Genomic DNA, 13,602 nt, shown 5'->3' with positions numbered 1-13,602 from the left:
TGCTTAATATTTTTATCACAAGCCATTTAACTTGAGGCTTTGCTGAAACTCATTGCGACATGCAGAGTTTACTTGAGACTCCCGCGAGCTCAGGTGTTGCTGAAGGACCCGTGCGGTATCCAACGCAGGACAGCGCCTGGGCCCGCCAGGCCACTCCTGACAAAATCCCAAGAGGATGGTTGTTGAAATGCACGGCCACCCTCCCCACACCCCGCGCTGTGGAAAGAGCGTGAAGACGGCAGGTGCTGTCCCACAGCAGCTGAAGGACACTGGCCCAGCTGGGGCCTGGAGGGAGCAGGGCAGAGAGGCTGTCAGCTCCTGGAACCCTCAGCCCCAAAGGTCCCTTCCCTCCCGGGTCCATTTCTCTGCTAAAGATGAGCCGTCCCTCTAGTGGCTGTCCCCTGGCTGCCAGTAGATGGTGCACATTGAAGGTGTGTGTTTGCTGTGGCTGCCGTAGCTCAGAGGCTTGAAACAACAGGCACTTACTCCCCCACAGTCCTGGAGGCTGGAGTCCGAAATCCAGGTGTGCCGGACCCCTCCCTCTGCACGCTCTGGGGGAGGATCCTTCCCCGCCCTCCCAGCTTCAGTGGCCCCGGGCATCCGTGGTGTGTGTCCACGTCCCTCCATCTCTGCCTCCGTCTTCACGTGGCCTCCCCCTGTGTGTCTCTCATGGGGATGCCTGTCCTTGGATTTAGGGCCTGGGTAATCTCATCCCAAGATCCTTACTTACCTTATTAAATCTGCAAACGCTCTCGTTTGAACTAAGACCTCATTGCCTGGTCCTCAGGCTTTGGGTCCATGAACACAGATGTTTGGGGGCTACCATGCCACCCGCTACAGGAAAGGTGCCACAACTATTTAATGAATGGGCAAATGAACCGATAAAGGTGACTGGAGGCCACCTCCTGGCCAGGATGTCGATGGCTTTACGATTGAAGGAGAGAAGGAAAGAGTCTGGTCCCATCACCCATGGGAGATGGGGAAACTGAGGCTCCTTGAAGGGCAGTGGCTTTCCCAGGGTCACCCTGCAGATTTTGGTGGTGGGGATCGGGTTAGGATCACAGCGGGGTGCCCCTCCTGCCCCTTCGAGGGCGGGGCTCTGTCTGGAGGCCCTGCTTAGACGCTGCACTGCCAAGAATCTGGGGAAGGAGCTGAGGGAGACTGGGGGTGGGGTGAGGGGAGGGAGAGATGGAGGAAAGCTCCGTTTGTGATTGACAGTGACCAGTAACTTGCAGGTCCCAGAGAAAAGCCCCTCTCCCCCAATCCCCACATCCAGCCCTCTCCTGAGACCCTGGTGGGGCTGGGCCTGGCTCGGCGGGGCTCCATGCATCTCCACGGATAAATCCACCCGTTCCCTGGAGAAGATTGCACCAGGGGAGTGTGGACTTCTGGGGTACACGGGAAAAGCCATCCTGTGTCCCCACTGCAACAAGCCCCCACTTGCCTGGGGCCACCGTGCAGAGCAGATTCATGCTCCCTTTCAGTGGACCTGCACCCTGCCCCACCTCCACGCAGCATCTTCCTGGCTACAGGGGGAACCTGCTCCTCTGCCGATCCCTCAGACCCCAGTCAGAGACCCCAGATAAGCCATGTCAAGATCCCTGACCACCAGAAACTGGAAATAATCAATGTGTGTTGTTTTCAGATGCTAAGTTTGGGGCAATTTGTGACACAGCAGTTGACAGCTCATTCAGGGCTGAGCGCTGCCTCCCCCTCAGGCAGGCTCCGCCCTGGGGGCAGCAGGTCACTGGGGAGGCTTGAGGGCAGGGGGCCTCACCCTCCAGGTGCCAGCCCTGGGCGAGGCCTGGGCTCAGGAGGGGTCCCATTTCCATTCCTCCAGAGGAGGGGAGCAGATGGAGCTGGGGCGAGACTGCTGTGCCCGGCACACACCGCCACAGACCCTGGGCCACTGCCCCTCCATGCAGCCCCCCACAGCCATTGCCAGGGGCCCTAACTGGGAGGCTCTGTGGGGGTCCCTGCTCTGGTTGACGGTCACGCACTCTGGGACCACAGGAGCCCCCACACCCGCTGCTGGTCGCCTGAACCTCGAGCCTCACAGCCCACCACTGCCCCTCCACATGCAGGACCCCCTCGTCACATGTCAGCATGTCCTGGAGAAGCTGCCACTCGTGGTGGTCTGGCGTCAGAGCCAGGTGCTGGCACATTTCCACACAATGAAATCATTGTGCAAATCAGATCCAGGCCTCACGCAAGAAAAAACAGGAGCCGCTCCTCCGCCTTGTCCCTCCCTGCTGTGAAAGCCCGGCCCCTCCAGGCAGGTGCCCAGGCGGTGGGAGGGGGTCTGCAGGGCCAGAGCTCCATCTTCATGGGCCATCACCACGGGAACCAAAAGTACCCTTTTTGCCCACAGCTGATTTGCTGGCAGGCGGGCAGGCGGCGGATGGGCCTGGAGAGCCCAGGAGACCCTGGGACCACTTCACAGGACAAGAGCATGGGTGGGGCCCCCCAGCACCACCACCTCTCACCTGGGTGCCGCAGAGGCTGGTGTCTGACGAGAGTACCACCACGGAGGGGCTGGGCACAGGTCTCAGCAGCCAGCCCAGGGCCATGCACTCCTGGAAAAAAGTGGCCCCCCAGGAAGGGAGTGCATTCTCGCCAGGTACAGCTGCTGCCCTGACCCCATTTGTCCTTGGGCGGAAGGCTGAGTGGCCGAGGGTGGAGCCCAAGCCCTCTGGGTGGCAGGAGGCCATGACCACCTGGCCGCCTGCAGCCTCTCCCGGTCACGCCTGCCTGCGTCTCTATCACATCTCTGGTAATAAATGAGGCATCCTGAGTGGGCCATCAATTTCGACACGATTGGCTGTTTCCGGGGTCTGGGCTGTCTGCGCGGCCTTTAGGGTGGATAAACACGCCGCGGCCTTTGTTCCGGGCTTTCGAGGAGACATTTGTCATGGAGATTTATCCTCACTTAGGCCGGAGCTCGTGTGCTTGGGCTCCGTGTTTATCTCCGAGGGCGCCCACTCACCCTGAGGCTTCCTATGGGAAGAGCTTCCTGGCGTGGGGTGCAGAAGCCCCCCGGGACAAGCTCGAGGGTCCAGGATGTGGTGCAACGAGCTGCTACACCTGTCACCCTGCTGCCCGCCCAGCCTGAGGCAGAGCTGGACCTGGCAAGCGTTGGCTGAAAGACATAAGAGGGGGCAGCTGACCGAGGTCCCCATGGGGATCCACTCTGGGGTGGCTGACTGAGGTCCCCACAGGGATCCGCTCTGGCCAGCAGGACTGGGGGTTCCCTGTCCCACCATTGAAGGAGGTGGAAGTGGGCCCAGGTGGGCTGAAGACCAGCCCAAGCACCCCCTGCTGTCTCGGGGCTGGGCACCCATTACCCCCTGGCCAATTCTTGTCCCGACCTCTCAGGGGCTCTCTCGGGAGGTGGGGCTCTGGGGAACAACAGCAGCTCAAGGACACAAAGGGCATGGGAATGATCAGCACGCAGTGGAGGTGGCAAGGGCAGGGCCCCTCCACCATGGCCACGGCCATTGTGACCCAAATGGGGGCTGTCTGCAGGGCAGCAGGCCTGGGCAGGCCAGCTTTGTTTCATGCTGACCAGCAGCACCTGGGCCAGCTCAGAGCAGCCTTAGAGATGCCCCTAGCTGCTTCCCCTTCCCACACCAGTGTCACCCGGCCCCTTCTTCTCCCAGCCCTGCCCCTAAAGGAGTAAGGCCCACAAGAGGGGTGACAGTGAGAGGAGGAAGTGGGAGTCTGGGAGCCCCAGTCGCAGATCTGTGTGAACTTCTTCCTTCAGGAGGGGGCCTGGGCCCCTGAGCCAGCTGTGCCCAGAGATGGGGTCAGTGAGTACTTGTGGAATGAGTGAGTGAGCAGGGGCGAGGGAACAAGGGAATGAATAAAGAAAAGGAAGACATTCTGCAATGTTTCATTTTTAAAAATAATTTTTCCTTTTTTTTTTTGCATTTTGGGGAGTATCTTTAAGGCCATTGCTCTTCAGGGGCTCCCCTTGCCATCTTCTCCCTTCTTGAGTTCTCTGTTCTTGTCCGTCATTATCTGCTTTCCTCGGACAGGGTAGGGGGCAATGTGTCATCACTGAATCCTTGAATACCTCCCATGAACTCTTCCTGGTCTGCAAAGGCTATCTTAGCTGGCCTCCCTCAGTAGTGCAGAGGCTGTTTCACTGCCTCCCACCTTCATCATGGCTGCCTGGATCCATGTTCTGTTTAACTAAAATCATAATACTGAAATGCAGACAGTTTGGTCATGATGTTTGGTCATGATCCTTTTTACACATTACCATATTCAGTCTGCTGAGGTTGTAAGATGCTTGTGTCTGTGTTTGTGAGTGAGATTTTCCTTCCTCATACTTTCCTATTTGGATTTCTGTATTAAGATTATGCTCACCTGATAAAATAAGTTGGGAAGAGCTCCCTCTTTTCTTTGAAAGGGTTTGTATAAAAATGGCATTTTTTTATTTAAATATTAAATCAAAGTTCTGAATGAAGGCTCTTTGGGCCTAGAGTTTTCTCTAGGGAAGAAACACTATAAAGTCAACTTCTGTAATAGTCATAGATAAGAATTTTTCAGGTCTTCCATTTCTTGTTGTGGCAATTTTGATAAATGCCTCTTTCTAGAAATTGTTAACTTCATCAAATGTTTCAAACTTATTGACATGAATCGATTAATACTATTCACTTATGGCTGGGCACAGTGGCTCACACCTGTAATCCCAGTGCTTTGGGAGGCCAAGGCGGGCAGATCACCTGAGGTCGGGAGTTCAAGACCAGCCTGACCAACATGGACAAACTGTATCTCCACTAAAAATACAAAATTAGCTGGTCGTGGTGGCTCGTGCCTGTAATCCCTGCTACTCGGGAGGCTGAGGCAGGAGAATCACTTGAACCCGGGGGACGGAGGTTGTGGTGAGCTGAGATCACACCATTGCACTCCAGTCTGGGCAACAAAGAGGGAAACTCCGTCTCAAAATAATAATAATAATAATAATAATAGTATAATATTCACTTATAATTTTTTCTCTTCTTAAATTTTAGAGATCTATCAGATCTGTAGAGATGTTCTCTTTTTCATTCCTAATACCGGCTATTCATGCTTTCTCACATTTTTCTTGATCTGACTTACCAGGGCTTTACAGGTTTTTTACATTTTATTTATTTTTAATTAACAATTAATAATTGTGTATACTTATGGGGTACAATGTAATGTTTTATTCTATGTATACATTGTAGAAAGATTCAATCAAGCTAATTGACATATCTATCACCTCATCAACACATTATTTTTTGTGGTGAAAACATTTAAAATCTATTCTTTTAAGAATTTAAAAACATAAAATGCATTATTATTAACTGCGGTCACTGCAATGAAACAGATCACTAAAACTGATGTCCTTTCAAAGATCAAGCTTCTGGCGTTAGTTATTCCTTTGTTTTGTATATTGTTTTCCATTTCATTAATTTCTGCTCTTATTTTTTTATTTCCTTCTTTCTTTGTTCCCCTTTTTCTAGTTTATTGAGCTGGATGTTCGGCTCATTACTTTTCAGACATCCTTCTTTTCTAATATAACCATTTAAATCCATAGAATTATCCTTCCATGCAATTTTAGGTGGATCCTACAAGTTTTACTGTGAAGTACTTTTTCATCATTCAGTTCCAAATATCGGTTTCCATTATGGTTTCTTGTTTGGCTGATGGGTTGTTTTTGTAATTCCCAGATGGCCGGGTATTTTCCACTCCGTTCTTGTCATCAGTCCTCACATGGTTGTGCTGTGGTTGGAGAAGGTGCGTTACATGACTCCTGTGCCTTGACCTTCCTTCAGGGCACGGCCACTCCCCAGTCCCTGGCATCAGTCCCCAGCGGTTCACCTCACCCTCGGGGACAAAGTCAGTGCAGTAATGTTCTCAGAGGGGACACCTGTCAAGCCCGGGGCTTGGACGAGGTGGGCAGGTACGTGTTGGAGGTGGAGGGAAAATTAGGGAAAGTCATGAGGCTCCTAGAATCCCCCTGTCTATGAAAAGTTAAAACCCTTTTTGGGAGAAATCAGGCAATCATCTCCAAAAACACAGATCTCAGTCGCATTGTGTGGGGGAGTTGGGTCTTGGTGTGATTGTCTGGTCAGAGCACAGTTCAGACTGAGGACATGCTGGATAGCAAGATAATCTGGTGTGGCATCACAGTTGAGTGAAGACCTCATAGTCCCCACCCTGGGAAGGGTGACCCCTGCTGAGCCCAGCGACGTGGACAGTGCCCAGTTTGTTCTAGTTAGCTTCCTCCAAGTGCCCTCCAGGGCACCATGGAAGACCCCACGCAGTGACTCAATTCCCCTCTCTCGGCAGAGCACATCCTAGGGCCACTCTGTCCCTGCCGGCTCCCACTGACCCTGCTCCCTCAGAGCCCACGCTACACGGTGGCTCAGAGTGGGGGCCTGAGGAGCCCTGGGTGCTGGCCTAGTGGAAGCCCTTCTTCCTGTAGTTGGTGCAGAAGGGGGAGGGGTTGGATCAGTCCCAGAGGGATCAGGGCCACAGTCAGGACTGGAGCACAGCCCGGACATGCTGACAGGTGACAATGGAAAGTAGGTGTGTCCATGTGGGGCGATGAGGGGGCCCTCTGCATGGGAGCTGGCTCCTCATGTGTGTGGCCTGACAGGGAGGAAAGAAAGGCACCCCAGGACAGACGGAGCCACAGGGCAGACACACAGGTCAGTGGGCGGCTCCTGGTGTCCCCGGCCCCCAGCCCCACCCGGCAGTCTGTGAGGGGTCCAGGTAGCGCTCCCACGCCATAGGCCCTGCTGCCTGCCTTGGTCAATGTTTGCTTTTGTAGTTGAATGTCTGCTTCCTGATTATCTGCCCACAGCAGCCCCGGGGCTCTTGGGAGTCGGAGCCCCACACGGAGCAGCCAGAGGGAGAGCACAGGGAAGTTCCAGAACTTTCTTGGGGTCGAGCATCCTGACGCCAGGCCAGGCTGCTGGAGAGTCCATCCTGGCTGTGCCCTTTCCTAGTTCAGCAACCTAGGGTAATAACTGCTCTGTGCCTCAAGTCCTCCAGCTGTCAGTGGCAGTACTGATAGTCCCTACCTGGGGAGATAGTGCAGGGGACAAAGGGATGTGATATTTAGAAGTCTGTTAGAAAAGAGCCTACTCCCTCAAAAGTGCTCCGTGGAGACAGTCACCACGAGACTTCAGAGTTGACATGCTGGGAGGGGCTGAGACCCCAGCTGGGAGCCCAGGAAGGCTTCCTAGAGGAGGGGACACTGCACTGAACACCAGGGATGTTCAGGGATAGTCTATTTTCCCAACTATAATGGGATGGGTATTCCTACTTCCCACAGCTGGTGGGAATTAACCAAGATGTGGCTTTAGCCGGCGGGCGCCGCAGAGCTGTGCCTAGTGTGGAGGGCACAGAGCCCCCCATTCTCTCAGGAGGGTGCAGGCTCCCACCTGCTGTTGACACCTGCTATGTTCCCAGAGCCCAGAGAAGATCCTGTACAGCGTAGGGCCATGAATTCCTGCAAAATGAACAGGTGACCTCACGTAGTCCCCCAAGCTGCCCTGGCAGCCCAGGCAGGGCCCCAGACCCAGGTGTGCTGGAGGCCAAGCCCCTCTCCTGGGCCAGGCAGAGCTCCACCTCCTCCCCAGCAAGGTGGGGCTGATACAGATGCCCACAGCAGAGGCTGGTGGGAAGAAGGAACGAGGCCCCTCATAGAACGAGCTCTGCAGTGGCAGACACCCCCACCCCCATGAGCACTTTCCACTTGCCCGCGCTGGAAATCCACTTCCGCAGGAGGGGGTGGTGTCTTTGGTGCCAGTGCCTGCTGTTGTCCGGAGATTCGGAGTAAAGGCCAGGCTGGAGTCCCTTTTCCCCCTTGAAGTCAGTCATCCTGTGGGGTCTGGAGTGTTGTCACTCCTTTTGCAGATGGAGAAACTGAGGCACGGGGTGCCGACCCAGGCAGCGTCTCCTGCATACCTGCTCTGATGTCATCGCTGGTTATTCCTCTTGGCCCCCAGCAGCATGAAGCCCACAGCCACGGACCCTGCACCATTATCCCCCTGGCCTCCTACGGAAAGTGAGGCTGGTTCAGTAGCTCAGGGTGACCCCCCTGCCACAAAGGGACCTGGTGTGTGGGAGACCCCCGTCAACATGAGGAACACCCAGGTCCAAAGCCAGGACCCCAGAAATCCTGGTGCTTCTGTCCACTATGGTCCAAGAGCTCCCAGGGGACCTGTGAGATCCTGGTCCGGGCCCTGCTGTGCAGAGGCAGCCGCCCTCCCCTCCAACACCCAGAACGGCAGAGCCTAAGCCGGTCCCGGAACATTCCTCTCGCTGCTTCCTGGGTTCTCAGGAGCCCTGCACCCCCACACCCCCTCCACAGGCCCCAACCGCAGTCAGAGCCCCAAGCACAGATGTCAGAGTGCTCTGCAGTGACCCCACCTCCCTGCCCAGGGCCCCGGAACAATTGAACCCGATAAGTAATGGCCCTGCCCTCCTTTATCACCCCAGTGCTTTGCACCGCCGGGCTGGCCTCATAAAGCAGCTGCAGTTTCTCTGGAGGACGAGGGCCCACCTGTGAGGAATGAGGGTGCGACTGCTCCGGGGGCCACCACACGCCCTGGATGGCCAGGGCTCCTGCCCACCCACTCCCCAGTAGGGACACAGCAGGGGATGCAGGCCCTGGCCTCCTTCTACCCTGGCTGAGGGCTCCAGGACCCGACCCCCCACCTCCTGGCCAGCCCAGCCTTCTCCAGATGGGCCAAGGAGAGCTCGGGCACCAGGCTGCCCTGCCCCTGCCACGTGAGTCCTGTGGGCTCTGGCTGGTGTTCGGCTTCTCAGCCTCAGTCCCCACCACACAGAACAGCAATGGTGGGTGGGAGCAGGGCCTGGCACTCACCCAGACTCCGCCACCATGCTCCAGAGCAGCCAAATCAAGGGCAGATTCTCAGAACAATTTCCACAGAACCGAGCCCAGAGGTTCCAGTGCAAGAACCCAGGCTCTCCCAAAGCATTGTTCTCATCCCTGGCCAGTGGGCTCCAAGGTCTCCTCAGCCAGTTTCCCCAGAATGCCAGAACCCCAGAGGAGATGCCAGAACATTCCTTACAGCTCACTACGCAAGCCAGCGTGAAGTAGGTGGTTTCTTTCTCCTATACACACACCCTGAACCAGGAGGGCTCCCTGAAGGAGGAGGCATTTTGCTGACTGCTTTGATTTCTAGGAGAGTGAGGCCGGCTTCCAATTCCACAGCAGTTTCTGCACAAAGATGTCTGTCCCAGGTCTGCTGGTCCCCACTCCCTTCCAAAGCAGCTCAGCAGTCTCACCCCCGCCAGGCCCTGGTGAGCCCACCACATGCTCTTGTGCAGACACAGGCTTTGCTCCTCCACAAGCCACTTCCCCAGGTTCTCTGGTCCCCAGACCCGGCGGTTCCCTGCCCCTGACCTTGTCTGCCCTCGGTGGAAGCTCGGGCTGCCTGCTCTCGTGGGATCCCAGCCACTTAAGGCAGCCACAGTCATTCCTCCAGCAGCCTCACGTCAACTCGCCTGACCCATGAGCTTGCTCCGGCCAAGGGGTTCCCAAGCGAGCTAAGAAGTGCACCGGGACATCAGGGAGGGGAGCACGAGGGAAAGTCCCTCTCCAGACCCTGCAGTGGGTCCCCCTTTCCTTCTAAAATCAAACACTCCCCCAGGAATGAGTCAGGCCACAGGGAGACGCCAAGCAAAGGCCAAGACATTCATTGGCCCAGACAGACACCCCCACCGCTTGGAGGCCAGATCTCATGTGGGAGATGGGCACCATGGGCCAGAAATGGGCTGAGGAAGCTCCCAGCCCCAGACCTCAGTTTCCCCATCTGTACAATGAAGGGCCTTTTTTTCATGGTTCCAAAAGCCACACGTTTTCTTGAGAAGGTTGAATTTCATTTTGGTGCTCAGCCCCTCAAGGGTGAGGGCAAGGGTGAGGGGAGGGGAGGCAGGGGAGGGAAGGTAGTGGCTGGGGCAGGAGCCCAGCCTGAGCCCCTCCCTGGACTCCAGTGTGTCTGCCGGGCAGATCGCTCCCTCGGGGACAGCCAGCTGCTTTCTTGTGGCTGTTGATGCCCTGCAGACCAGGGCTTAGACGGCACTCACCTGCTGCTCACAGGTCCGGCCTGGAGTCTGTGGTCAAGGCTCCTTCCCAGGGTCCTGAGGGGAGTCTGTGCCTGGCCTCCGGCCTCCGCTGATAGACACTGTCTTCTCTGTGTCTTTAATTGTCTTCCCTCTGTGTACGTCTGTGTCCAAAGTCCCCCTGCTTATAGGGACACCAGCCACACAGGACACCACCCCAGTGAGCTCACTTTAACTTGGTTGCTTCTGTAAGGACCTTGTTCCCAAATGAGGTCCCAGTCTGAGATCCCAGGGGCTGGATTCCCACCTGTGAATGGGGAACAGAACTCAACCCTCGCCCAACAGTGGGTGAGGGGCAGCTGTCTTCCCTGGGGGCAGCCAGTGCGTGGGCCATGCATGGCCCCAACCACCAGCTCACAGGTGGACCTCAGGCTTGGGTCATCAGCCAGGAGCTGACCCAGCCAGGGCAGGACCAGTAGAGATGACTGTGGGGACACCGGGAGACCAGGCAGTTTCCCCAACCCAGGCTCCGTCCTCCCAGCTCTGTGGAGCCCAGGGTGTGTGGGAACGGCCGGGGAGATCCTCCTATTCCAGCAAAAGCCAGGGCTGCTGCCCCCATCCCCACTCGCCAACATCTTGCTGGACTGCAGGGCTGGGCCCCTCTGCAGGAGTAGGGACAGGAGCTGGATCCAACATGGACAACAGGAATTTGGACACAGGACCAAATGCTCAGTCCCAGAGAGGCCTTGGCTTGGAGCTGGAGATTGGGAGCACCCCTGGGATAGCCCAGGGAAGCCCAGGTAGCAGCAGGTGCTCGGGTCAGCCCAGAGTGGCAGTTTGGCTGAACTTTGTAGGGTGTGCAAGGGAACCATGGGCACGAGCTGGAGGGGCTGATGGGCCAGATGATGAAAGACCTCGGGAGCTCCAGGCCAGGTTGTGGGTCCACTGTCCCCTCCGGGTCCCTGCAGTGTGAATGGCCGTGTTTTGCAGGAGGGCTGCAGGGATGGTAGCTGCTGTCTATCTGGGAGCCACAGCAGGTGCTGGAGCCGGGGAGCCAGGAGAGTGGCTTGCACCATCTGGGCCTCTGCATGGTGGTGTGAGGGCTTAAGGTCAGGGCTGGGGGCCGGAGGCAGGGGGAGCTGTCAGGACAGGCTTCCCAGGCCTTGAACCCAACCTGATGCTGCAGACTCCCAACCTCTGGCCCAGATGGACACACATGGTTCTGCCTTCTAGGAGCCTGTGTCATGGCCACCAGCTGAGCTGGGGCCCAGACCTGCTTGCCGGACCTCACTCATTGGCCGTTCATCCCACAGGCTGCCCCATGTGGCCGGCAAACACACAGCTGTCCTCGCCCCTGCAGAGCCCCCAAAATCTCTGAGGAGGCACTGTACACCCGGAGGACAGGGGACAGAGTGGGTTTCCAGGCAGAGCGGAAATAAATGAATCCAAAACACAGCCCCGGACAAGATACCTCCCGCGGCCCCCCAGGCACGCGACCCCACTGCAGCTGCCCTCCCCAGCTCTGCCAGGGGCCGAGGGCCCCATGGGGGACCCTCTGGAAGCAGGGATGGCCCAAGGCCACTGCCCACTGAGAGGCTGCTTAGACGAGGGCAGGGAGCTGGCTGGCCCGGCAAGGGAGGGCATGTTCCCCATCCACTCAGCTACCTCGGCCCCAGGAGGAGGGGAGCTGGGGGCACAGGAGCTGGCACATCCCCACCTGACACCAGGTCCTCTCATCCCAGTGATGGCCCTGGAGGAAGCCGCTGAGCCCTCAGAACAGCAGGTCATCCTGAGTCCAGCATGGAGCCCTTGGAGCCGCAGGTCCGCCTGAGTCCAGCATGGAGAATGAGGCACTCCTTCATCCCTGCTTCCTGGACTTTCCATGGAGGTCACACTTCTGGTGAAGGGAGAGCCACCACCCTGTCACCACGATTCCAGTGGGCCAGGCCACTGCCCCCAATTCCAAGGCAAGAAGCAAATGTCAGGGGCCAGGGCCAGAGCCCAACACCAGGCTCATTCCTCTCAAGAGTCCACCCAGTGCCAAGTGAGCCCCTGCCCGGCCTGGCATCCCAGAGCAGGGTGCTCATCCCATGGCACAGATGGGAATGCCAAAGCCCACAGAGAGGCCCTGGCCCCCCACTGCCCTGTGCCCCCACCTCCTCATGCTCCTGAAAGACCTGGCCCGTGCCTGCAAGCGCCTGCCTCGGCTCCCAGACGAGAGGCTTGTCCTGCCACTCTCGTGCTCAAGAGCCACCCATGGCTCCCAGTGCCTGGTAAGCAGGTGGGGAGCACGAAGCCCCGTGTGCCCGCCACTCTCTGTACAGATGCTGATTTCCTCTGCACTCTGGGTTGTCTCCTTCCACACTGACAGCTGTGAGTTACTCCAGTATCCTCCCACATTTGCGGCTAAAGATCTATGATCATCAGATCCCCAAAGCCAGCGTCCCAGTTGTTCTGTCTGGACTTCAGGGAGGCCCTGGCACGCTGAGTCTGTGCCCAGTCCATTGTCGGCTCAGCCATCGTCAGTGTATTCTCCGCCCATGGAGTGCGCTAGGCCCATGGCCACTGTGCGGTGCCTTGCCTGGGGCTGATTCTATACAGAGCTTGACGGAAGCTTCCAGACTGGTTAATTACGGTCCTACCAAGTGGAGACAGGCTTCTCACCACTGCAGGACAGTGGCCCTGGGCCGAAGGAGTCCTGCGGCCTGTGTGGCGTTTAGTGACTGGCACACGGGTATGTAGGGACACTTCCAGGACGGGTTCCTGCACCGCCCACGCTTACCAGGGCTCTCACCTCCTGGGACTGCAGCGCTCTGCTGCGGCAACACTGTCCCTGCTCTAGTTTCCATCCAACTCCAGAGCTGCGGCACTGCAGGAGGCCTCTCCAGGGGCAGAGACGTGGGTCTGGGGTCCGGGGTCCAAGCCCAAGCCTGCCACTTCCCGGCCACACGTGGGCCTGGACTTTCACTCGCCCACAAAGCCAGGGTTCTGATGCTGCCCACAGGGCTACCGAGGTAGACATGATCCACGTAAGCCTCCGAGCACTGGCCAGCACGCAGTAGGTCCTCAAAATATGTGGCTCGAAGAACGTGCTCAGGAAGCTGGACCACGAGTGTCAGGCTGCATCCGCTGGGGCCCTGAGCCCTGCTATAGGACAGCCCCGGCCCTTGCAATTCACACTTGGCCCTCCTAGCTCTCGGCTCCTGTGGCCACACTCTCACTCTTGGGCCCTGTCTTTGACGGTGACCGCCCTCCAGCCAGTGCTTGGGTCTGCCGTGTCGTTCATTCCTGCATTCCCTTCTCTGGTGTTTTCCCTGTGCTACCAAGGACCAGGCCCTGGGGTCTCGGGAGCAAGACAGACGGGACCAGAGATGGTGATTGAGGCGCCCAGACCAGCATCTGCCTTGCTCCCCTGTGACCGCTGCATCAAACGTCTGCAGGCCGGGAGCTTACACTAGAAGTGCATTTTTTCAGGGCCTGGAGGTCAGAGGTCTGAAATCAGGCTGCCAGCAGGGGTGGCCGTCCACCACG

General features: G+C 57.4%; 1 annotated feature.

The window, feature by feature from the left end:
- Positions 237-738: an enhancer, noted in NCBI's record as "H3K4me1 hESC enhancer chr14:104836443-104836944 (GRCh37/hg19 assembly coordinates)". NCBI's record gives its function as "activates a minimal SCP1, AML or CMV promoter by ChIP-STARR-seq in primed H9 embryonic stem cells {active_cell/tissue: H9 hESC(primed)}" and the evidence as "EXISTENCE:reporter gene assay evidence [ECO:0000049][PMID:30033119]".

Source organism: Homo sapiens, chromosome 14 (assembly GCF_000001405.40).
Source record: "Homo sapiens chromosome 14, GRCh38.p14 Primary Assembly".
Taxonomy (NCBI): Eukaryota; Metazoa; Chordata; class Mammalia; order Primates; family Hominidae; genus Homo; species Homo sapiens.
Note: the sequence above shows the minus strand (reverse complement) of the source record. Positions and strands in the feature narration are given on the sequence as shown.